Source organism: Homo sapiens, chromosome 5, assembly GCF_000001405.40.
Source record: "Homo sapiens chromosome 5, GRCh38.p14 Primary Assembly".
Classification (NCBI taxonomy): domain Eukaryota; kingdom Metazoa; phylum Chordata; class Mammalia; order Primates; family Hominidae; genus Homo; species Homo sapiens.
In genome coordinates, this window is record NC_000005.10 from 89372308 (window position 1) to 89397023 (window position 24716).

General features: G+C 34.3%; 2 long non-coding RNA genes across 7 annotated transcripts in view, besides 1 other annotated feature; one reads left to right on the forward strand and one right to left on the reverse strand.

Moving 5' to 3' along the window:
• Positions 1–24716, forward strand: part of MEF2C-AS1 (MEF2C antisense RNA 1) — a 584252-nt gene that overhangs the window by 488978 nt on the left and 70558 nt on the right. For all 6 annotated transcript variants that reach the window (NR_136218.1, NR_136219.1, NR_136222.1 and 3 more), the window contains one exon: positions 4976–5055. This is a non-coding gene — a long non-coding RNA (MEF2C antisense RNA 1). The remainder of the gene's footprint in view (positions 1–4975; positions 5056–24716) is intronic.
• Positions 5286–6370: an enhancer, noted in NCBI's record as "VISTA enhancer hs789". NCBI's record gives its function as "enhancer in: eye[3/7]" and the evidence as "EXISTENCE:transgenic organism evidence [ECO:0001131][PMID:17130149]".
• Positions 17297–22053, reverse strand: LOC105379074 (uncharacterized). Its single transcript, XR_001742437.2, has 3 exons — positions 21948–22053; positions 21224–21325; positions 17297–17454 (listed from the first exon to the last, which is right to left on the reverse strand). It is a non-coding gene; the product is annotated as an uncharacterized LOC105379074 (long non-coding RNA).

Consider the following 24716-nt stretch of genomic DNA (forward strand, 5'->3'; position numbering starts at 1 on the left):
GAAAATTCAGGAGACTTCAATAGCAGGAATGGCTCTGAAATATTGTTTTTCTTTGCTTTAAGTACTTTTGTAATACAACTATACTTGTGGTATTTCTGCCTATGTTGGCAGTAGTGTTTTAAGTCAACAGAACTTCTCTATAAAAACAAAACAAAAAGACAGTGACTCACTAATCTGTTTGAAACAGACAAAACATTTGATAAACTAACAGAAATTGTTCCAAGGATTTTGTTGTTGTTTTCTTTCTTTCTTTCTTCTTTTCTTTCTTTCTTTCGTTCTTTCTTTCCTTTTCTTTTCTTTCTCCTCCCCTTCCTCCTCCTCCTCCTCTTCCTCCTCCTCCTTCTCTTCCTCCTCCTCCTCCTCCCCCTCCTCCTCCTTCTCCTTCTTCTTCTTCTTCTTCTTCTTCTTCTTCCTCTTCTTCCTTTTTTTTTTAATGTCCTTTCAGATTTCCTTCTGCAATGGAATTTGTCTCAATAGTTTTGTGATCCATTAAGGTTAACTATTTCTGTTAACCCTCAAAATATTAGAAAATATCCCAATGTAAACTTTTCTGTCTCATAATCATCTTGTGTTCCATAGACATGTGTATTAGTATGTAGCATACAGGAGAGGGAAGCAAATGCAGTAAGATTAAACTTCATGCAGATAATTTTTGCTATTGTAGAAAGCTTTATCTTTCACAAGAAAAGACAACTGACAGCAAAAGCAACTGGCAAAATAGCACTCAAGCTGAGAAGGTGTTGGATATTTATATTTGAACAATGAGTCTTTGAATCTAATGGGATGGAAATACTTATCTTCCCCACACTGTATTAAAACTTCATGAAACAGACCCGAGTAACAGTATACTTAGTGCTCAAAAATATTCTTTATATGTTTCTGGGGTAATGCAACTTCCAAGTACAATATTCTTGAAACCATATTGTTAAGCAGACTATTAGACTGATACAGTAGACTCAATGCCACCTATATTTTTCTGCTTGATTTTGACTACTACCCACAAGCAATCTATGAGTTAAGAGAAGAGAAGTTCTATAAAGAAAAGTTTATTTCGAACTTCAATGTGGACTGACTAAATTATACCTTACCTTCTGAAAAATGAAAGAAAATGCTAGAAGCACTTTTTTAGCTGCTATTTTTTTGTTACTCTTCTGTCTAGACACAAATTCAAGATACCAGAGGAGCATCTAAGGTTTGACAAGGAAATAGCAATTTGGTAGCCTTAAAGCAAGTCTGGGTGTACTGTCATTTTAAAAGTATCTCACACATTTTGCTCACTGCTACAACCATTTTTGACTTAATGATGATAAGAGAATGGCTTATTCTGAGATATGAACATAGACTCATAAAATAACTTGTTCATATTCAAGAGTGACTTTACCAATTGTAAGCCTCATTCCTTTCACCTACCTTTTGGATCTAGCCTTACTTGTAAGGAGGCCAGGTAAGGGCAGAATTAGAAGAGTGTGATCAGAGGTGTTAACATTCATCTTTCAAAACCCATTTCTTTTGTAACATGATGTTTTTCTTTCTCAGAGAGGTAAAAACCTCTTGCAAGTCATTCAATTTGTTTCTTGTTTATTTGAACAAAAAGAGTTGCTTGATGTAATGATTAAACATTTCAGATTTGTTAGCAATATCACATAAACTTTGATTCTATTTTAAATGAACCACAATTTTTCCACCCACCCAAAGTGAACAATAATAAAAGTGTGTATATCATATATATATATATATATATATATATATATAAATATGTGAAAACTCAGCTCTCATACCATTCAGAAATTAAAATTTGTTTCTCTAGGCTAGAGCCCATGAGGTTCACTAGTCTACATCTAGCAGGATCAAACTTCTAAAGCTTTTAGGATTGGTGAAAATTACCCACATACATTTCATAAAATGTTATAACTTCCATTCTTATCTGAGGAGTAAAGAGAATTCTGGGTTTTGGCAAATTCACCTCTGCAACATGTAATAAAACAGAAACAGAAAGAGGTATCGGACTAATCTCCATCTCACTGTGCAATTCTGTGAAAAAGAAAACAAAGTTGGTGCCACAAGTATGTGGCACATTCCTTCTCTTTGTCTTTTCTAAAACAATGGTATCTAAAAGCATGTTTTGTAGCCACAATATTTTCCAGGTCAGTTTACAAAGAAAAAAAGGGAAATATTCCAACCATAGCTTTGGGTTTAGGTACTTACTGCAGCAATGAATTTTAGAAGGTGACAGGTTACATAATGAGTTTGCAGTTATGATTGCACCTGGCCCTGGAAGGTTGCCATGCCATGAAAAGAGAATATCAGCTCACTTGCACTGGTGAACAACAGGCTAGTGCTGCTTTTGCACACCTGATAAACTGTTCTTGTTATAGGAACATTGATTCAGCTGTTCCAGCTGTATATGCTATTGTTTGTTCCCTCTTATTTGCTCACCATATATAATGATTTTCTCAGATATGCAAGAGTACTTGGGCTTTGCTTTTATTTAGAAACTCTTTTCTCTGTACATGAAGTGATTGTTGAGTATTCAATTATGGCTGAATTTTAAATGGTTGGGATCCAGTTCTAATTGATTTCAATGTAAATCAATAGAGTTTCTAATCAGGGTGAAGCTCAATGCTGAATGACTAGTTAAGCCTCTACCATTTTAATTTATGCCTAAGTCAATAGGCAGTATTGTATTTCATATTTGATTGGAACTATATTGCATCCAGAATTGAAGCTATAAAGCAGTTTGTTGACAGAGTGATATGTATTACTTTGTAAACCTGTACATTCCAGGCCACATAGAAGCATTTGAAATGCAAGAATAATAAACAGGAACACTCAGGAATATTTTTAAATCTAAGGGAATTTTTTTTAGGGGAGCAGTAAATAAAAGCAGTAGCTATTTAACATTAGGTGTTCAAGTTGCTACTCTGTGGTGGGCAATAGAAGTTTTTGAAAAAAATACATAATATCATGATTATAAAGCATTACTGCAGGGAGGGTTAGGCTTCAGGAGAAGATAACCAGACAAACCAGTTCTTAAGAGGGTGGCTGATTGGCTGTTTTGCTAAAGATAAATCTTTCCTCTTCCAAATATTCTGAAAAAAAAAAGTAGACTAATAGCAAGAAGTGTAGTGATTTGCACATTATCCAAGCCATTGAGTTATTCCTGCCTGTCCTCATTCTGGTTCTTGATTTGCAGGCCAGCTATGCTCTGCAGCTGGAGCAAATTATATCAGCAGAAGTGCTGATGTGACCACAAGTTGACAAAAGGACATGATTTCTAGTAGCAAAAAAGCAACTAGATTTTATGAAATTGTATCTAATAATGTTGTTTAACTCATGGATCCTGCATCTGACGCCTGCTTTTTATCCAGTCCTTTCAGCGGCCCTTTGTTAACAGTCACTCAGAAGAGGAAATAAAATGTAGCCATTGAAATAAAAATTGCTCTACTCTTTTTAATAGCTCAGCTGCAGGCTCTATTGTTTTATTTAATGGATTGTATAACTGAAGTCTCTCCTCCTGATGATTCCCATTTGGCTTCTGAGTCCCCAAACTCTGTCAGAATCTTGGGGGTTCCAGAAGGAGGGGAGTCTGGTGTTTTGCTTGTTCAAAATACAAGTGGATAGTAAAAGCAATAACATTCTTTAAAATGTAGTTTCTGCTATGGAATCTATATTACTATGAGCAAGAAGCAAAGATTTTTCATCAAAGAAAGCATGTTTAGACAGTCCCTAGATTCAACAATTCTAGTTCAGGATACAGTAAAAAAATTTATTTGCCTAAATGTACAGAGGCAAGTAGGCTTGGCGGCAGTAGTAAGAGGAAAAAAGAAAATAGAGGTACTAGAATACATAATTGTCTTCCTTCTTGTCAAAATCAATGTGTCATCTTCGAATTGGTAGATGGGGTCTTTGCTAGAGAATCCCGGCAATGGATCTCTCTCTCTCCTCGTGCCTGACTATCCATTATAGATATGAAAAGCGTACCTATAAATCATTTGAGTTTGACTTACTATCATTCTAAACAGTATACATGGTTATTATATTTTTAATTATTTCATACTTTTTGGTTCTACAGATCTGTTAAGATGTATCTGGTTTCTGTTGGAAGAATTACAGTGACTTAAAAATATATATTTTGCTCCTGCTTTTCTAAGAAGAATTTCATTCTGTATATATTCAAAAGATCAAAGTTAAAAAATAAAGTGCCTCCTACATAAGGAAGGTGGTATAAAATACCAAGAGGAAAGATCAACCCTCTGCTCCATACTTATTAATATTTCAAATATGAATGAATTGCCGAGTATTTACCTGACTAAAGTAAACTGTTTGCTATGGTTCTTGGAAGATTCTGCAGAAAGCTTTTGCAGCTCATTTTTGTCCTACTTTTATGTGTTCCATCAGAGCAGGTTCATTGTTTTAGTAAGAGGAGGAGAAAGATTTGTTAAATCACGAAGTGCTAAGAAGCCTTTCAGCTGAGAAAGATACACAATGTACAAAGCAGTTAAAACAAATCATACAGTATAACCTGTTAAGGATGTAATTGAGATACATGTAATCATTAACCTTGGAACAGACTGGGAATCTGTTAATGAATCAAATCAGTACCCTCTCCACTGATCCATAATAATTTGAAATAAATGAAAAGTTTAACAGTTACTGTATGTGAGGTTATCGTGGGCTGCAATTAGCTAGCCTCCAGGAGATTATGTTACCTAGTTACCCAAAGGTAAGTATAATTTCTGTAGATCTTCTGGAGAGATTGTCATAAAGACAGGTGTTAGACATGGAAAAGGGTCAGGAAAGGATATTTGGTACAGCCCAAACCTGGGTTATCTTTCAATAATTTCATTCCATCTATCCTCCTTATGACATTTCATACTCCTAGTTCAAGTGAATGTATTGCTCTGAAAAGACATTACAATTTAATTTTGATGGTTAAAAAAGTGATTATCCCCTTTATATCTTACTACACATTTAGATCTCACATGAGATGGCAAAGAGGTCAAGACAAAAATTCTGCATTTGGGAAAAGAATAACACATGGACTTCCTCCTACAGGTAAGACACTTGTATATGAAAGTATTTCATGTTTATACAAGCCCCCTCCCACCCCCCACCAACCTCCATCTCAACAGTTCCAGCATGGTCATTATTGCCAATAGAATTATACAGAAGAATAGTGAAAAGGAATGAATGCTTTTGCATCTATTGTATCATCACATTTTTCACACCCCCATTTTGCAAGTAGTATGTAGTACCCTACAAAATAGTATATAGAGAGGAAAATGATCCCAGGGTCCATTGCTTTTATATATATTGCTTTGATGTAAACCTTAAAAGAAACAATCATTGTATATGCAGTTCCATAGGAAAATCTCAATTTGGGGAAGATATAAAAAGAGATATTGCCATTCTCTAGGGAACCAGTAAATAAAACGGAGAACAGAATTTTTTTAAAATGCATGTAAAATATATGCGTATGGAAATGTTAAGAGCCTTATTTTATAATGCCAAGGAGGGCACAAGATAAAAACTGTTGTCATTTGTTTCCAGGGAAAGCAGTCGGTGAGACCAGGCACAGTAGGATAGTTAGTTAGCTACCACATGTAAAGCTGAGAGCAGATGGTGCCGTTGATATAGAGCGCAGGAATGTGCGTGTTTATGCGGGTGCGTTTCTGTGCGTGTGCGTGTGGAAACCAGCAAGGAGTTTGACACTGATGTACTCCATCAAGTCCAGTTATAAAGAACAAGTAGATAGAACAACATTCTGTGCATCTGGCAGCCTAACTAGCTCTGTCAATCTGTGGATACTGCTGACATTGTACTATAAGCTTCGATTCCATCTGTGTTGTTTATTTTGAGCTGGATTTACTGCACACTATGTGAATTGATGATGGCTAGAAGGTCCAAAAGATTCTGAGTCTGTTTAAAGTTCCAAGGTGTCAAATTACACAGGATTGTGTCACGAACATTATGAAAGGGTAAGTGGAGAGGCAAACTGATTTCAGTATTTGTTAGACGTCCAAGAAAAATTGCCGAAAATATAGATGAAGAAGGTTTATGAAAACATATAAAGAGTACATATGAACTCCTGCAATCAAATGTTTCCTTTTCAAGTTGTATTGTGTCATTTTAAAAAATTCAAAATATGTACAAACAAATAGACAAGTCAAATCAGCTCTCCACTCTGGGGTTGTGACATGCATATTATTCAAAACTTTCTGATCAGTACCATATTAAATTGCCAGAATTAAGGAATGGACTTGATGGGTGAGGGTTGTGCCTGCCTTCTTTCTGAATGGCTAGATCTGAGGAACAGGTATATTTCTATGCACCCACTATTAATTTATTCTGTGAAGATCCTTTCTTGCTTCAATTTCTTTCTGTATAACAAAATGTTTATAAATCTTTCTACCATACAGTTTAGGAAATAGACTTTGCTATCATCATCAAGAAATCATGAAATAAATTGAGAATATACTTTTTAATGAAAATTGTATACATTTATGTGAGAGAGCAACACTAATTGGGATAGGTCATCAGTTTCAAGGCTTTTGTCCATTTTAATTTTCAACACACTGTGCAGCTGAATGCTATGCCTGCATGATGCTGGAACATTCTTATGAACAGAGAAAAGAGATTTAATGATTCAAGCATTTTATCTGCATCTGCATATCAGATATCGTTTAATTTATGTGGCTGCTCTTGTCTGCTTATGTAGTAAGTAGCCTAGATCAGAATTTTCCTGTACCAGTCGAACTCTGTGCAGTTTAACTTGCAGTCATTGAATGAAAAAAGCATTTTGTTTATGATATAGAAATTTCAATTCGTGCTTTCAACCCCCATTCAGTTAGTGGTTGGTTATGGTTGAATTGTGTCACTGAATACAAATATATTTACATGTAACTCTCCTCCTCTTTAAAGAAAAAAAATTTTAATTATCCTGCCTTATTCATTTCAGAGCTAGGGTGTCAAACAAAATCTATGAATGTAGTTCATTTGATTGGCAATGTTTAATATTCATCTGTTGAGTGGGTACTTATCCATATTCATAATATATGCTAGGTAATGTGAGATATATAAGCCAATACAATATACATTCCCTAGTCTCAAGAAACTTTAATATCTAGTTGAGTAGGTAAGCCATTCTTATAAAAATATCAAATAGCAACACATATATTCAATATCAATTAAAAAATACAAGGATGGCACAAATTGGACTTAAAGTTGGAAAAGTTTCATTACAGTCTTCTACCTGCCAGACACTATATTGGGTACTTCCTCTCATTAGGTGTCTCACCCAGCTCCTCAAAAACTCTTTGAGATATTTTCCCCCATGTATGAGATGAAGACAGAGGGGAGAGTAGATATAACTTGTCTGGGCCACATAGCCACTGAATGACTAAACAAGATTTTACTTCAATTTACCTCCATAAGCACATATTGAACATCTGTTCTATACCAGGCATAGTGTTTGACACTGAGATAAATAAAACGAAAAATCTGTTTTAAGAAGTGCAGAGGCTTGTAAGGAATAAAATATAAAAAGTTTAATGTGAATATAATGCAGTAAGTGCTGAAATAGATGTATACATAGGGAATGATAAGAACAGAGGAGAGAGCACCTAGCTCAGAAAGGTAATTGACTTAGACAGAGAAGGAAAATGTGACAGGCTTCCAAAACAGGCACAAGCACAAACAAGGTTACAGTGACACAAACAACAGGGATAGTGGGAAATGCAGCTTTTGCAGCACACCATGGTAACTCATGTGACCAGTGAGGGAAGAACACATTTAACACTATGCATCATGGTAGGAAGTAACCCCAGTGGGCCGAGGTATTGAGACAAGGCTTGAATTAAATAGGTTTTCTGTTGACTCATGAACTTTGGGTATATTTATTTTGATTACACAGATAAAGAATGACCAGATATTGTAAGTGAACATAAATGGGATCAATGAATACTTAGAGACAAAGGTGTTAAAACCAATATGGTAGGTTGAGGAATGTACAGGCCAGTATGGTAGATCTGCTAACTTTCCATTCTGATGATCAGTTGTCATGTACAAACTTGAAGCCTGTTATCACCTAGAGATGATCCACCTCTAAAATCATAAATTCCACTCCCTGGCAACAACTTCTTAACTGTTCAGGTTTTATTGTCATCCTCATTCTCCAAACTGACCAAGACCTTTAATCCCTTAATCCTCCAATTTATATGTCTTTATCAACCATAAACTATTTAATTCCTGACTGATCTAGACTCCCTGGCCTACCACTTCAGCCACTCCTCTTGCCTCAAGTTCCTTGCCTAATTTTACTTTTATATCACACATTCCTGCAAAAACTTCAAGATTGGAACAATTCATTCTTATTTCTCTAGCTCTCTTTTCCATTATTCAAAGAAATGATTTTCATGACTATTTCTCTCTAAGCCAGTTACCTTCTGACTCTCAGCTCATTATCTCTTCACAAAGAGAATGGAAATTGTCATCCAAGCACTACAAACAAATGGAGATAGTGTCCACTGCAATCAATCACAAGTGTAGAGGTATTATGAGGCCAATCCTTTTATCTGTACTTTGGATTCTCCTTCCTCCTTTTTTACCTGTCTTTCTTCCCTTTTTTTTTTTTTCAGATTCTTACATATTTGCTATCTCTTTCTCAAGAATATTGTCTAAATATACTTAGGTCTTTCCAATCACAAAAGCAAAACAACACCCTTTTCCACAAGTCACTCTTTTGCTACTGTCCTATCTACCTCTAGCATTGGCAAACATTGAAAAAGTGGCCTAGAGTCATTGTTCTGTGCTTCCTTCACTTTCAATGCATTCTTCAACCCATTGCAAACTGGAAAACATTGCCAAGAGTTCTCTGAAACTGTTTTTGTTAAGGTCATCAATGAATGCCTTGTTTCCAAATCCCTCGTAGGTATTCTTACTTTATTTTACTGGTAGGACTTGATATTGCTAACTAACCCCTCCTCTTTAAACATGGTTTCCTCGGTGTAATTACATCACTCTCTAATTTTCTTGGTAGACTTCTTGTCCACTGCCATTTCTCTAAATATTAGTGTCTTCAGGGATATCTCTTAGGTCTTTGACGCTTATCTTTCAATGCGTTCTTCCTGATGAATATCATTTATATCTTTAATCATAATTTACACACCTGTACCATCATTCACATGTGGGAAAATGTGATCCAAGGAATAAATCCTCAACTAATGTATTTTTGGTGAGTTTTAGTCAGTCCTACATGTTTAAATAAGTACTCAATTTCTACCCTTGTTGTTGATGATGCATCCAGCTTTGAAACCGTGCCCTTTCACACGGCCGTTTTTCAACAGGTCCAAAACTGGATGTATCATCTCCTTCTCTCTTTCTTCCAGCCAACTTTCATAAATATTCTCAAATCCATGAACTTCCTTTCTAATAACACTATTCTAGTAAATGACTAGAATTTGACTAGAATAATGTTGCATTTTCTAATGTAAAAAAAGAAACCTAATCACTTAAGACATCTATAATTGAGTATGAAATGTATAATACAGGTGAATAGCAAAATATTAAAATTAAATGAACTAAAAATTATACCCCTTTTAATTAAGTTGAAACATTGAGTGAACTACACATAAAATGCTAAGTTTCAAAAGCCTAACTCATAAGAAACAAATATTTTAATCAAGTTAAGGACACATCATTTTAATATTAATATTCCTAGTTCCCAGCATCAGAGCTATAACAGAGTTGCTGGTCAATTGATATTTATTAATAAATTAGTCTGTTTGTTCTTCAATACTACAAAAAAGTGAAAAGCCTTACAAGATTTTCAACCAGGTAATTCACACATGAATATGATAAAGTTGTAATTTATTCTATATACTGAATGGCTAATAAAATAAGAATGTTACAACTGTCCTGATTTATGTCTGATAGAATTATATAATTAAGTAGAATATGGTAATAATACAAGGAATATCAGGTATTAAAATGACTAGTCAGGTTAGCTTTGTATTAAACAAAGCTCTATTTTACAGCTTTAGTTTCAGTGCAAAAGTGACCACTATTCATGGGGAAAAAACTTTTTTGACAAGCTTGACCCCACCATAAATGGAAAACTAGTATTTTATGCCTCCTGCTAAGGAAGAAGGTTGACTCTTCTTCAGCCAAAACAAACTTTATAATTTTTTTCCTCAGTAAGGTCATTTCCTCCCTAAGCAGTGAGTATGGATTAATATGCTGATAAGAAATTAGTAAGTCTAGTTCATATTGCAGTAACACTCTGGACTGAAAGCAAAAAGGAATGAATTTTACTGTTGATGTCGTTTGGTTTTGTGTCCCTGCCCAAATCTCATGTCCAATTGTAATCCCCAATTTTGGAGAAGGGGTCTGGTGGGAGGTGATTGGATCATGTGTGCAGATTTCCCCCTTGCTGTCCTGGTGATAGTGAGTGAGTTCGTACGAGATCTGGTTGTTTAAAAGTGTATAGCACCTTTCCCTTCTTTCTCTTTCTCCTGCTCCTGCCGTGTAAAATGAGCCTGCTTTCCCTTTGCCTTCACCATGATAGTAAGTTTCCTGAGGCCTCTCCATCCATGCTTCCTGTACAGTCTGCACACCTGTGAGCCAATTAAACCTCTTTTCTTTATAAATTACCCAGTCTCAGGTATTTCTTTATAGCAGTGTGAGAATGGTCTAATATGACTATGGTTCCATCCTCCTTTTATTGTAAAATACACAAATACAAATAAAGACATAAAAAACATGAATGCACAACTTAATTAATTATAATAAAGCAAACATCCATGTAATTCACCACCAAGTAACAAAAGAGAACTTTGTCAACAGCTCTACCCAATTATAACACCTTTTCTCCCACTCTAAGAAACTGTTGTTCGGATATTTACAGTAATATTTTCCTTGCTTTTCATTACAGTATTACTATGTGAAAATGTATCATTAAATTACATAATTTAGTTTTACTTGTTTTGAACTTAATATGAATGTAATAATGTAGTATATATTTCTTTTGTGTGACTTCTTCCTTTCAATGTTAGGTTTTTAAGATTTATCCGTGTTGCTAGTGATAACTGTAGTTCCTTCATTTTAATTGCTGGTGAGTAATCCCCTGCATAAATACACCTTAATTTACTTTTCCATTCTATTGCTGATAAATATTGGATTGCTTACAGCTTTTGCTATTGTAAATAAGGATGCTATCACATTTGGGCATATGTATCCTAGTGTACCTAAGCATGACTTTTTGTAGAGTACACAATCAAAAGTTAATTTCTGGTCTGAGAGTATATATATATATATATATACATATATATATAATGTATATATATATATGTATATATATATATGTGTGTGTGTGTATGCATATATATAATATATACATATATATAAAAATAACTTTACTAGAATGAAAAACAATAAAAATAGCAGAGAATTTTGAAAATTGGTTGTATCAGTTGAATTGGTTTTATTTAAGAAAGAGGATCTTAAATTCGACAGGTAAATTCCATCTAGTATTTCATATTTTACAAGAAAACAAGTGAATAGTCTGATTGAATTTTCAAAATAAAATAAAAATAAAGTATGAATGCCTAAAAGAGATTAGCAAATACCAGTGTTTTTTTTTCTAATTAAAAATGCATATTTTCTCACAAAATTGACAGGAATGCATCAATCACATTCATCTAAATTCTTATTGAAACGATAGTGCAAGAAGAAACAGGTAGAGCCTGTGAAGATTCAAAAGTAGATATAATGATTAGATTTTCATTTTATGGAATTCACATTTCTCTTATAATTTCACAAAGTTTGGAAGCCTTGCCCAACATGCAATTAAACAAATATCATTTGGGCTTATTAAAGAACTGGTTCTTAAAATACAACTTCCACTTTTTTTTTCTATTTATAAAGTTTGAGCATGGGAAGCTCTGCACTGAAACCAGTAAATCAAATCAGTGCTCTAGGACCTGGGAACTAGTGACTAGTTCTCTTGAAATGGAAAAAATAAAAAAGTCCCTATGCTTTGATTTACCATGAAACAAAATCCCTTTTCTTAAATTGCTTCAGAATTTTTAGAACCAGTGTAGGGGAGATTAAAAAAAAATGATTGTGAGTGTATAAGTATGAGATGTTTATAAGCATGAATTTTTCCTGTGGGTAAAAAAAAAAGGAGGCAAGTAAAAAAAAAATTCATCCTGGAAGTTTCCTCAGGGCCTGGGACTTTAGAAAGTATGTGCCCTGGGACAAAAGATGTCGCCGAGGAAAAGCTGATTGGTCTTTGCTCTCACACAGCTTACAGTCTACAGGGAGACGCAAAAGAAGGAAAAAGCAGAGGTACTGTATCAGAGTGAAAGGCCCATAAAAAAGGGCACTTGATTAAGTAGGACTCGAATGATGAGAAAGTTATGATAGAGAAAGAAGGGCGTGATTTTTTCTAGGAAGAGAATAAAAGCCCAGAAATGAGAAAGAAGGAACAGTAGGATCAGACATTAATAGAAGGATCTTTGAAGTCGGGCAGCCATGGGATAAAATCCCAAGTATTCCAAGTAGTAACTGTGTGACTTTGGTTAAAGTCACTTACCCTCTCCTTATAAAATGGAGATAATAATACTTAACAAATAAGATTTTCGCAAGGATCAACTAATAGAATGTTTATAAAGCATGCATAGAAGTTCTTCCACAAAAGTAGGCAACTACATTTATAGCAGAATCAGACATTTTGGGCATGAGTAGGGGTTCATGTGAGTCAAGAACATGCAGAGAGAAGCAGTTTATGTCACCCAGAGCATTTGGGCTATATGAAATAATTCAGTCCTTATGCTAAAAATAAGGGAGAGAGCCGCCAACAGATCTGTGTTTCAGAAAGGGGGCTTGGGCTGTAGTAGGAATGGTTGGAAGAAGAATAGAGGCAGGAAAACTAGTGAGGATCTGAATGCGGGTAATATCAGGGAAGAGGATTGGAATTTGGTGTATTTAAAAGATATTTGAATGCAAGACACCCATTTCTGGGAGTTTGGCAGGCAAGAGGAATAAAACTCTTCCCCAGGTGTATGTTTGTATGTATGCATATACCTATATATTTATATTAATATTTGAAAACAAGTTAATTTTTAAGTAAGGAAGGGAAATGTAAACAGGGCCAGAAATAAATCATTGGATGAATTGAGGGGAGTTAGTAAACTCTGAGGCTAATTGTTGTCATGGGTATGTCTACTGCTCTTGGGTAGCCTGGAGCTTAGGTTTCAATGACAGGCAAATGTGGAGTACAAGAAACAAAGCCTTGTCCCCACAACCCCAGCGCTCCACACGGATCCTACACTTACAGAGAGTTAATCGCAAAGAAAGGGTGACCTAGAAAACAATTCTGTGCAGTGTTAATATCAGACAAATAGTTCTAAAGGCAAAAATCTTATCACTGGAAATGAAGAAGGTAACAATATAATCATAAATCTTTTAATTTATCAGGAAAATGTAGTAATTCTAAACTTGCAAGCACCAAATAATATAGCTTCAAAATATACAAAGTGATAGTTGACATCAGAATGAGATATTTCAACATGGTGCTCTCACTATTACAACAGGAAGATAAAATAATAGGTAAAAGTATGAAAGATTTGAACAACACAATTAACCAATTTGTTATTGTTTAATAAATAAAATATATGTTTAAAGCACATATAAAAAACTGTACACCCAACTTTTGTGGTATATGTATTCTTTTGAAGCACATATTGAACATATTGTTCCATAAAGAAAGTCTCAAAAAATTCCAAAGAATCAATAGCACACATACCAAAATTGCTTAGTATTAAATTACTTAACACATAAATTGCTAAAATTTAGATGCATTTAGAAATCAACCAAACCAAAAATATGTTAAAATTGTTTACATTGTATGTGTAAACCACGCATGGGACAAAGCAGATTTCAAAATGCAACTTAGAAAATATTCAGACTTGACTATTTTTGAAATATTTTTGAAATATATTTGAATATTTTGAATATTTTGAAATATTTTTGAAATATATTTGAAACACTATTTCAAATTATATAAGATGCAACAACAAAAAACAATTACTCAAAAGGAAATCTATAGTTTTTAATATCTATCTCAGAATAAAATAAAGGTTAAAAATTATTTATCCAACTTAAGAAGTCAGCAAAAATCATAAAACACCTTAAAAGTGCATAAAGGAAGTAAAACTAAGAAAATAATACAGTTAAGATTAGAAATTCATGAAACAGAAAATAAAGTTACTGTATTAGCAACGCCAGAAATTCAGTTATTGGGGGCAACTGAGAGATGACAGAATTCTAGGAAGTTTTCACTACTTCGATTTATCATATGCTAGATGTCCTGGACTTCCCTGTTAAACAAAAATAAATAAGCATTGGAAAGAAAGAAACCAAACTGTCATTATTAGCAGATGACATAATTATCTACATGAAAAACTCAAAAGACCAATATTAAAATTAATAAGAAAGTTTAGGAAGTTGCATATGTAAATAAAGTAGATCATGATCAAAGACAGGTAGATTTAATACTGTAAAGTTGTCAACTTTGTGCAAATTGATTTATAACTTCAATGCAAATTTAATCACAACCTCAACAGGACTTTTTGTAGATTATGGTAAATGTTTTTAAAATTTATTTGGTAAAGAAAATGAAAAACACAGTCAGGGAATACTTAAAGCAAAGCAAAGTAGGAGAAACTGCTCTACTGCATGTCCAAACTTATGATAAAGCTACAGTATTTATTGGGAAAAGAATATAAAATACACCAGCAAAAGAAAGCTAAGAGGTAGACCCACACAGATATAGAAACATGATATAAAACGGGAAAGTGACACATTGTACAATCAATGGCAACAGAATGGTTTGCAGTTTTAACAAATAATTTGTTCCTTACATCACGTCATACACAAAAATCAATTCCAGGTGGGTTAAAATCTTAAATGCTGAAGATAAATTTTTATAGGAAATTGTAGGATATTTTTATGATTTCTGGGGAGTGAAAAGTTTTCTTAAGTCAAAACACCAAGTAAAAATATTGTTTATGTAATTTACATTAAAATTTAGAAGTCCTGTTGATCAAAAGAAAGAAACAACTTTTTTATTGATTACAAATAAACACAAAATAGCCATTGACTGGGAGTAAGAAATTTGCACATGCAAAACTGAAAAATGATATCAATCTACATATATAAAGAACTTCTAAAATTCACTAAGAAAAGGCAAACTACCTAATAAAAAATCAACAAAAATACAAACTCGTATATTTCACAGAAGAGAAAACAGATGGCCAGCAACAAATAAAAATATATCTACATACATTAAATTTCAAAGAAATTAAAACTAAACCACAACAAGATACTATTTATACCCACCATACTGACAAAAATAAATGGATTTAAAAATCAAGTGTTGGCCAGCATACAGAGTAATGGGAACTCTTAAACACTGCAAGAAAAAGTTTAAATTTTTGTGTATATACTTGGAAATAATTTGGCATTAATAGTAAAGTAGGAAATATGCATGTATAAAAACCCAGAAATTCTACTTTTGGGTATAAACTTTAATACAACTCCTGGTCATGTGGATTGAGTACATGTACAATAATTTCATAGAAAATATTGTAATAGTAAAAATATTCTTTTTAAACGACCATTGTTAGGAAAATTTACAAATAAATTGCTATATATTCATAAAATATTTTTCAATACAAATTTCAAGTAAATTCCACCTACAAACAACAGTATAAATATTAAACCCTACGGTTGAGTGAAGAAAATCAAGTTGTTGAAAGCATAGATATATTAGAATATCATGTTTATAGATTTTAAAACCAGGTAAAGCTAAATATTATATTGTTTGGGAACACATATAAAGATCAACAAGACAATGATTAACACAAAATTTAGAATAGTAATTAAGTCCGGAGGAGTGAGGAGGCACTGGAATGCTTTTAGATAAGCACAAAGTGAAATTAACAGAAAGTAATAGTGACTTTTATTTCTTAATTAGAATACTGGGTTCATGAATATTAATTTTATAATTTTGCTACAAATATACACTGTTCATAATTCAAATTTTAAATGTTGTGAAGTTGAATGCTAGTATTTGATTATTTTAAATGGTAGGGAAGAAGAAAGAATGAAAAATCAGCTCCACGTAGGTGTTTCTATTTAATGAGAGGAAGAAGAGGACCTGGTAAAAATGAGTATGGGCAAATGAGAGGGAAGATAATGACGAACACATTTTCCAACTGTTCAGATTCAGATAACTGAGGTACATCTTAGTAAAATGATGGGGAATCAACTTAATCTAGGACTGAATATGGCACAAGGGCTATGGGCCTTAAGTTCTGGGAATCATTGAAATAAATTATCTGAAGCCTTAGGAATGAATGAAATTGCCTGATGGTGGGACAGAGATTGAATAGTAATGATAAGAGAAACAGTATACACTGTTATTAATGTTACAAGTTGGATGTTCCAGTGAGCTCTCATCTCAGGAGGTTAAAGATCAGTAAATTGTAGGTTCTTGAACTGAAATTTATGTTCAGTAATTATGCAGGTCCTTCTTTGAGCTCCAGAATATAAGTGATGAAGAGAGATTTACTACAAGGACAAGAATCAGCAATTCATGGTTTCAGACGGGCTGCAAGAAAACCTTTGAAGGAAATGATTATCTTTCAATAAGTTTCTTAAAACCAGAGCCCAGAGACTTCTGAAATGTTCCACTTTCACTCCCTTGCTGGTCTTAATGAAGCAGTCATGTTATGAACCACCTACGAAGAGGCCCATGTGTCAAAACACTGCAGGTAGCCTGTAGGAACTCTGGGCCTCAGCCAAATAGCTAGAGGAAATGAATTCTGCCAAGATGTGAATGAGTTTGGAAGCCAGTTTATCTCATCTTCCAGATGAGACCCCAGACCTGTTGACATCTTGATTGAAACTTTATGAGATCTCAAGAAGAGCAAGCTAAGCCTGGCCCCAACTCCTGTTCCATAGAAACTCTGTGTTGATAAATGTGTGTTGTTTTAAGGTTCTAAACTTGTGCTTTAAGGTTCTAAATATGAAGCAATAGACAACATATATAATATTATGTACGTGGTATATGTATGTTGGATATATTCATCAGGATGTATCTGCTCAATGAGGAGAACAGAGGAAAATATGGCAGTTGGAGGCCCTCATCCAGGTAAATGATTGAGTCAGAAACATCAGTTTCTTGATGGACAAAGGAGGAGTGCAGAACTTTGATTGCAGATTGATTATTCTCTGAGCTTTTAATTTGATCATTTTGGGTTTCTGCCCTTAACTTACATGTATCTCTCTTCTAAGATATGCATTCATAGGTTGTATTAGCCATCACTAAAGGCAGCACACTTCTGGTTGAAGAATTATTTACAATGAGTAACATTCTCCTCCAGTTAAATCCTAGAAAATCCAAAGATGGACAGTTAGATAAACATAATTAGCTCACTTTTTCTGTGCATGTGGCATTATTCATTGGTTGCTTTTACAAAGTGGTTCAAATTTGCAATTTAATAAAACTCTGGAAAGCTTGGGGAAGTACATGGGGAAACAAAATTATTTGCTAGTATTGTGAATTCTTTAACATTAAATTGTATTTAATAATTATTACAAAAACTATTTATATCAGGTGCAAAAGAATATAAACCTACACCTCACAAATTCTTAGTAAGAGAAATTCTCTGAATGAAATATTGGGTCTCTTAAATTCTTCTCTTTTTCATGTGTTTCATTGATACTACAAAGATCTCACTGAAGGTCATTCATTCTTTTTGAGGTCTCTATAGTATCAGTGATCCTAGCCACATCTTTGATTTAGAACATCAAAATGTCATAATTGATATCAAACTCATGAACACCAGATCAGAGCGTTGAAGCAATATTTGATGCCACATCAAATATACTTGTTTTTTCTTTGTGTGTTCTTCTTGTTCTTGGCTCTCTTTGTCTCTTTAACCACTTTCCTCATAAGGGATCAAATTTGGAAATCTTCACATATTGACAATGGAGAATGTCTCTATAGGCTGAAATATACCAGACAGAGAGAAGGAGCTGATGTTACTAAAAAGGAAACCTCTACTGCTGATCTTTACAAGGTAGTAGCAGCTCATTGGTTGATCCATTAGGTGAGAATAATATAAAAATTAGGAAAGCATAATGCAATGCTGAAAAGAAAGATTCAGTGGAGAGGTTAAGTCAGAGGAGTAATAGAAAGACAAGAGAATGAGAATATTTACTGAGAAAACAAGAAAGAACAACTCAGAGAAATAAATGTAGAAGGGTTATATTAGCAAGTGAAGCTGGGAACTGCCCATAGCAAAGGCTGGTAAGGTCAGGAGACAGCCTCAGCTTCAACACAGCTGCTCTCTGGCATTATTAATGGCATAAGAGTGGATCTGGGAATTGGTAAAACAGTAACAGCTAAAACAGCAGTTTAAAACATAGGAGTAAATCTCCAAGTCATTAAGCCTATCTATGAATTATACACAAAAAGTACCTTCTTGCTGGAAGTACTTTTACTTTGACAAATAAAAATTGTGTGTATTTGTGGTGTATTTTGTGATTTTTTGATGTATATATAATTATGAAATTATTACCACAATCAAGCTAATTAGCATATCCATCACCTCACATAGTTATTTTGTTTCATTTTTTTGTTGCAAGAACATTAAAAATCTACTCTCTTAGTAAATTTCAAGTACACAATACAGTATTATTAACTACAGTTCCCATACTGTATGTTAGAGCTCCAGAACATTTACTTTAAACCCAGAGTAGTCTGAATATTGAGCTTGTTGTTTAGAACCACTTGGGGATTCAGCTCAATTTCCCCTAAGTCCTGCTTTCCACCTGCATAAGGGGACTCTGGAAAGATGAGAAAAGTTGTACTACGAGGCGTTCAGTTGCCCAAGTACTAAAAAATCCTCTCTCTTCCCAGTTTTCTGTTACTTAGAGTTATACCGTATAAATATTGTGCCCTAAGGAAAAAAGAAGTGAGAAGAGTATGCTGCCTATTGAATGCTAAAGCTCAATCCACCATAAAACTCCCTGCATCTTTCAAAAAAGACAGGAATGGGCTACCGCAGTGCTAGGAAAATTATTCCAGAGACCGGTGCATCTAAAACCCTAGTGTGCTTAACAATCATCTTTGTTAGAACAAAGACCTGGCCCCTGTGCCCAGAGAATCTAACAAGTTCTTAGGTTGTGCTCATGCCAGTTCATGGACCACTTATTGAGAAGCAGTAAGACAGACAATTGCTCCCCTTTAGTGGAATTCTTTCCTAGGGGAGCTGTCTGCACTTAGCTGTGTATTGTCTTCTTCCAACCTTCAGTGTGTACGATGATGACTTTTACCAATGCAGTGGGTTGAGGAGCCACCAGTGCCATCTCCACAGGGGTTCTCTCCTATACCACTATCTCTCAAGGCTGTTACTACCTTTTTATTCAGGAAAACAACAACATCCACAGAGAACTTTGAATATTCCTCTCTCCAAAAAGGACAGCAGGCACTGAGGCATTCCGCTCACTTAAGGTGATCCAATAGTGCCCAGCAATATTCAAGTTATTTTGCCACCACTTCAATACCTCCTCACTTGGCAGACATCTCCAATGTTGGTTTTTTTTGTAACTGTCCCACACTAGTGAAACCCTCACTGTGAGGTTTGGCTAGAGATAACTCAACTGGGCTGGTGGGTGATTTTGTGTCTCTCACTCTTTCTAAACACAACCCAGTAGACGCATGGCTTCATGTTACTTCAAGGGCTTTCCTAGCTGGAGATTCTAAGCTGGTTTGTTTCAAAATTTCTCCACATTTCTGACGGAAAAAAAAGGGGTGCCGATACTGATAGATGCCAGGCATTGTACTACTCCCTTATTTAAGTTATTTTATTTAATTCTCACAATAGCCCTTATGAAATAGATATTGTCATTCTCATTTTATAAATGCTGTAACTAAGATACAGAGAGATTAAATCACTTCATGAAATTGAATGGCTCAAAACCAAATAAACTGAGATTTGAATCTAATTTCTCACTGTTTTGCTACATAATTTGTCCCATTTCCTGAATTGCCTTAACTTGCAAATTACCCCAGGGTCATTATGGTTATATTTACAACATCTTTTCAATCTTAAAAGGTAAGACATCTCCCAATTTATGTTAAATAATCATTTTATCTTATCCTAAACCCGGGGCCTGAAGAAGCCAATATTGCCTTTCTTGTTCATTATCTCTTATTGCTCAATGGCAATCTAGAGAAATTACAGATGAAAAATGTCTCTGTTTCCCACAAGAAAGTTCATTTCTTCCATGCTAGAAAGAGTTATCACCATACTCCTTAATTTATTTAAAATACTTCCTAAAAATACATAGTAAGAACTTTCTAAGACACCTTTTCAAATGTTAAAGCCAAATTTATTCTGTTTAGAAAAAAAAAAACCTTTTAAAATGCTTCGTAAAAATCTGGCATCTTTAGACCATAATATAATTATAAGAGAACTATATGTTTCCCTCCTTTTTCTGTGTAAAGATTAGGATTTTTCAACCCCATTACAAATTAATGCATCCTTGCAAGAAGATTGAGGCTGGCACTTTTCATATTATCAGGAGTCTCCAGTTTCTTAATCTATTCATAAAGTCAGCAGAACTTTCTTGAACTCCTACTGTGTGTTCAGCATAAAGGACACATCGGTGAACAAAACTGACCAGATATTATCTCCACTGTTATGAAATCTGAAGGCATGTGACTATCACTGAGCCTTCTTAAGTTTTTTGTATTAACTGTAGTAATAAAAAAGCTAAAGCAATCTTATGAAAGATTTTAATTCAAACAGAAATGTTAATAAGGCCAATGCACTGATCCATAACAATATTGCCTTTTTAGCATCATAAATTTATATGTTAATTATGCAATTCAATCACAAAACTAAGTTTTTCATGGCATTTTCCTTTTCTCTGGGGTAGAGTTTCAAGTGCCACATAATAGTAATAGTATTAAATCCAGTAACATTAGTAGGAAGCATGAACTGTTAGACATTTTATATAGTACAATGTCTACTTTTGACTTACTAATTAGAACAAATCTTCAGAAATCAAGGTAAATATTATCATATTGCTTATCTTTAGGTATCTTTAAGTATACAGATTGTTTATAAGGAAAAATTTTGATCATTACTTCAAAGTTAACTGTCTTCCTACCCAAGCTGTTTTGGTAGACTTGTTTCTGGGTTTCAAGTAGCATCCTACTTGCCTTCTTAACACACCTCCATCTTTCACCCTTGTGCAGACAGAAAAAAAAAATCAGTGTGTCAACTTTGTTTCATGAAGACCTTATAAAGAGGCATTTAAGGTTGTAGTGACTTTTTAAAAAGAATAATCAGGGAAGAGAAGGTACAAAGAGAACATTCTACAAGTGCAACAAATATCATAGGCGTATGAAAAATAAAAATTGGTAAACTAAATATGCTCATTAAAATACTTAACGGGATTATAAAGTATAATAAGAACTATAAAGAAACACATAAATATACTTCTGGTTCTCTTAGACTAGATAAGAATCACTCATTTCTTTAAGTCAGAAATTTATTTCTCTAGGGCAATGAAAAGAAAGAAACAAATTGAACATCTTTATAGCTATAGAATTAACCTGATTCTCCTTAAAATTTCACTGATTTCTATCATCGGGCATAATACAGGGATTTTATATATGCTGGAAGTGATGGATGTATACTATTACTTATTACCTATGAAGTAGGGATGCAGGACAACATTGCCCATGTTTTAGTGGAGGAAAGCCAATTTCTGCTTCACTTCCCCAGGAAGGAAAAGTGTAAGAGGCCTGCCTTCCATTTCTCTACTTGCTCTCTTCTCCTCTCTCAGTTGGAAGTAGAGCGACTTACCTGAGTGATAAGTTTGAAAGAAAAAGCTTGGTGTGCTTGACGTAGGCCTTGTTGGCCTTTTTCAGAGTCAGTCTGCCTGCGAGATGCATGTGTTCTTTCTCGCTCTCCACATTATGGTTAAGCCCATGAGAGCAGCCTGTATTCCAATGGAGGTATTAGTTGTTATCCATTCAAATCTGATTAATTTAGGAGATTAATAGGTGAATCTTTTGGTCACACATAAAAAGCCATTCTCTCCAGTAAAGTTTGTCAGAAACGAAGTTAAAATTTTGAGCTCCACTTGTCAGTCCTCAATCAGTTACAAACTCGGAAGTAAGGGGACAAAAATGGGTGCCATTTACAGGACCCCTAAATCACTTACATTATTTAAATACTCAATTTGTTGGCACTAGAAAAGTCAACTTTTTAAAGAACTATAAATAGTTTTTAGGCAACCTTAAGCATAAAATTCAATAAATGATCTGGGCTTAGGAAAAGGATGTAAAAATAACTATACTTATTTAGAAATTTAGTGTAAATATCATTAATATATAAGTACTACAGATACAAATATAGAGAACAGGAAATGTCAGTTTTTTCAATGTCCTTTTTAATGCTATTATCAAATTTTTCAAGAATGGATGCATTAAACATATCATGCATAATTAATCAAATTTTTGAAAACTCATTGCTGGAGAAACACACCAAATTTTAAGTTGTTTTACCATAATTCATTTTAGTTTTTGATTATTGTTGTTTAAGTGTTTCACTATAATCATTAAGCTCTTGTAAATTATTTTCATTCCACCAGCTAAAAAATTGTGTGTATATTTGTGTGTGCATGTAAAATGTGTGTGCATACACACATACACATGAAAGCACACATATAAATATGAATATGAACTATAATTTGCAATTAAATTATGTAAGGGTTATTTGCTGGTGAGATCTTTCTCTGGACAAGCATGCTCTCTAACCTCTATATTAGTTAAATAGGGATTCCTTGGGTGGCTTTTAAGTTTAACTTCACACTGACTGGAAGCAGAACTATAAGCAAAGTAATCATCCCCACTTAACAAACATTTCCTTCCTCATCCCCCCAAAACTACTGTTCCTCTTAGCCCTTAAGAACAAATTTTTAGTGTTTCCTTATATGCATTTATTCAAAAAAAATTTATCTATACAAATACCCATATGTATACAGTATGTTTTGTTGTTGCACTCTCTGGCTTGCATATGCACACACACATATACACCCAGGGTTATATTGCTCCTCTTTCTTTGGTAAGTGCATTTAAAAGCACAAACAACTATAAGGGATCTAATCCATTAAGTGCCAATCATTTTCATATAATGCTTTTTTTTGGCAAATAAGGTTTTATGTATAAAAGTAAAAAATAATCCTTAGTCTATGGCTCCTTGTTTAACTAAAGTTTTGAATTTCAAATAGGTTAAAATTAAAGTATGTTTTCTGGGTCTCTTCTCTATCTTTTCCCTGGGTGATCTACCACCTCACCAACTATGTACACACTGAGCTGTTACATATATGTATCTTCAAAACTATATATCTTTCTGCCTGCTGGAAATCTTCAACATGTCTAAAGTTGAATATCCAAAATCAACATTCCCCAAAGTGAATACCAGAGTTTTTCTGTCATACACACTCACTTTCTTATGTTCTCTATCTCAGAAAGGACACCTTCACCCAAACCAGAAATCTTGCTTTCATCCCAGTTACCTTCCTCTCTCTACTTAATTCCTTCTCCCATATCCTATTAGTCATCAAACTTTAATCCCCCTAAACATATTCTTTCTCCTTATAGACCATCAGTTCTCACTAGATTTTGACAGTGGTTTCCTGATTTATCTCATCTGCTCTTCCCACAGACCCTACCAATCCACCCTCCATATAGTGTGAAAATCATCTTTTAACAGGCAAATCTGATCATGTTAACTCTCAAAGGGCTATGGGGACCATCCCATTACTGATGTCACTGCAACATGTAGTGATTAGATAATTTAGTGACTTAGGGATGTGAAGCTTCTCCCCTTCCTATCTAGTACTGTAGATCATACCATATGTGAAGTTCTAACACAAAACAGGAGTGAAATTATCAGGATAGAAGGCATTCCTACAATGTGTGTTTTGGTTTAAGGATGAAAACTAGATGCTGCCTTTTCTATTTAGTGGAAGGAAACAGTTGAGGCTTTCTTGAGTCAGCAGTTGTGCAATATTATCCTGATAATTTTAGGCCCTGGTTTCTACAACTTTATATAAAGCTGTAGTTTGCAAATCATCACTTCACCAATAAACTGCCAATTTATGTAGCTTCACATTGCCTAGTAACTTCAACATAATTCCTGGAAGAAGGAGGACTGGGGCCTCTTTTACCTAACATGCTCTGTTTTCATTGAAGAGCTGAGCATGTAGAAGGTAAATGTGCTGAGGGACAGTCCTCCAAAACCCGGTTTTCTAACGTGAAGCTGTTATCAGCAACAGAACCAAGCAGAGGAAGCATGTTTACAAGATCACAGCAACATCCCAGTCCCCAGTCAGGCCTTTGTGGTTTCAAAAAGCTGCAAATTCTGTCAACAGCAAAGTCTGCATATCCTGTTCCTGTTTTACCATGGCCTTCTAGTTTATTTCCCAACTCCAGCATCCATCAATGTTTTATTCCAGTGACTATCAAAAGTGAAAGTCAAATGTTCTGTACTTTACTCTCTGACATGTGAATTTCAATCCAACTACTTCTAATTCCTTAGACACACTTCAGTCTTGACTGCTCCTTT